Below are 1,615 nucleotides of genomic sequence, written 5' to 3' on the forward strand. Positions count from 1 at the left end.
TGTTTTATTTAAAAATAGGTTCAGACTATCAATCCTAAAAATTATGCTGCCATGAGAAAAGATAAAATAAGTTTCTTTTGTTCTAGATAGCACAAACGTTTTTACAGATCCATTTTGTTCTAAAAGTTCATCATACTGTACAAAGAGTAGTGTTGCGTATTATTATGTGAAGAGGACAAAATTTTATAAATCTAATTTGCTATCAAGCATCTGCATAATGTTAAGGTTTGGATTTAACATAAGCTTAAGATTTGTTACATGCAATTTTCATTTATTTACCATGTATAGGACAACTTGTTTAACGAAATATTTGGCACTGTGAGCAGTTTACTTGACAAATTCTGTCAAATATTTGCTTTCTGAAATCTCGAGAATTGGTTGAATATAATTGTACTTAATGTTTGCAAAATAAATAAATATGGGACTAAGGACGTTCTATCATTAATTTGTCAGAAAAGAGAGTTGTCATTTCTGAAAATTTAATGTCATTGAAGCTCTATTTCCAATAGCAAAGGAGCACTATTGCTAATAGACTTCAGAGCTTGAAATAAATAAATCTTTGGAATCCTGTTGCATCTCTTGGGGTGTGACATTTGACAGTCTTTTATAGCACAGAACGAAACAAGTTTGTGAGCTGGAATTCAATTGTGGCGTATTGATTCCTTGCATCAGTCATTATTCCCTGCTGATTGACAGGTGAAAATTGGTTACGTTAAGTATTTCATATGTTATATTGGCTGACATTTGCTTGCCTGCTCTTGTGTCAATATTGTTGTAAAGATCTCCAGCTTTATGAGATAGCAATAGACACTGACTGTGGCTTTTGTGTGATGTTCCAGTGTTTTTCCTGACATAATTTAAGACATATTAAAAACCAGCAGCATCTTCCCTCTTGAGAAGCTTAATGCCAATATTATTGTCTTCCAGGGGAAGATCATGTATGCTCATAATCGGGTGCTAATTTCCACCAGTACGCTCATGTTTAGGCATTAGGCACTATAACTGTAAAATTGAGCCTTCTTGATTGATTCATGTCAAGCCTCATCTCGGCTCCTGCAGGGGAAGTCATCCGGCTGACCCTTTTTACACTAAAAGAAGAGATTTGTGTTCCTTTCTTTCACCTGGAACCATCAAATTGACTGAATAATCTGTAATACATTAGTGCTGACATTTGTTAGGGAGAATTAAACAAGACACAGTAATCATTCCCCAGAATAAAAATTGTGTTTGATTTCCAGCAGAGTTCTATTAAAGGGAGGACAGAATCTGTCTCTTCCAAGGTGGAAAATCGTGAATATTCCCTGCATTAATGAACCAAGTTAACACTTTAATTGCTTATAGAACCGAGTTCTCCAATGACAGCATTAAAAGATAGGGAGGCTCTGATTTATGGTCAACACAGATTTGTAACCCAGTGAGGTTCTAGAGAGGAAAAAAAATTCTTATTCATTTTGCTTTTGCTAGTCTGAGACATGAAAAGTTGTATTATTCCCTGGGATATATAAAATTCATCCAAAAATGGCCTACTATCTACTCTCCAACTCACTTGAGAAATATGGCAAAAAGATTAAGTGAGCTAAATATCTAAGTACTAAATTTGTCTTTCATTATGTCA

At 34.4% G+C, this 1,615-nt stretch overlaps 1 annotated feature.

The window, feature by feature from the left end:
- Window positions 310-1,413: an enhancer, noted in NCBI's record as "VISTA enhancer hs559". NCBI's record gives its function as "enhancer in: midbrain (mesencephalon)[3/5]" and the evidence as "EXISTENCE:transgenic organism evidence [ECO:0001131][PMID:17130149]".

This window comes from Homo sapiens, chromosome 4 (genome assembly GCF_000001405.40).
Source record: "Homo sapiens chromosome 4, GRCh38.p14 Primary Assembly".
Lineage (NCBI taxonomy): Eukaryota > Metazoa > Chordata > Mammalia > Primates > Hominidae > Homo > Homo sapiens.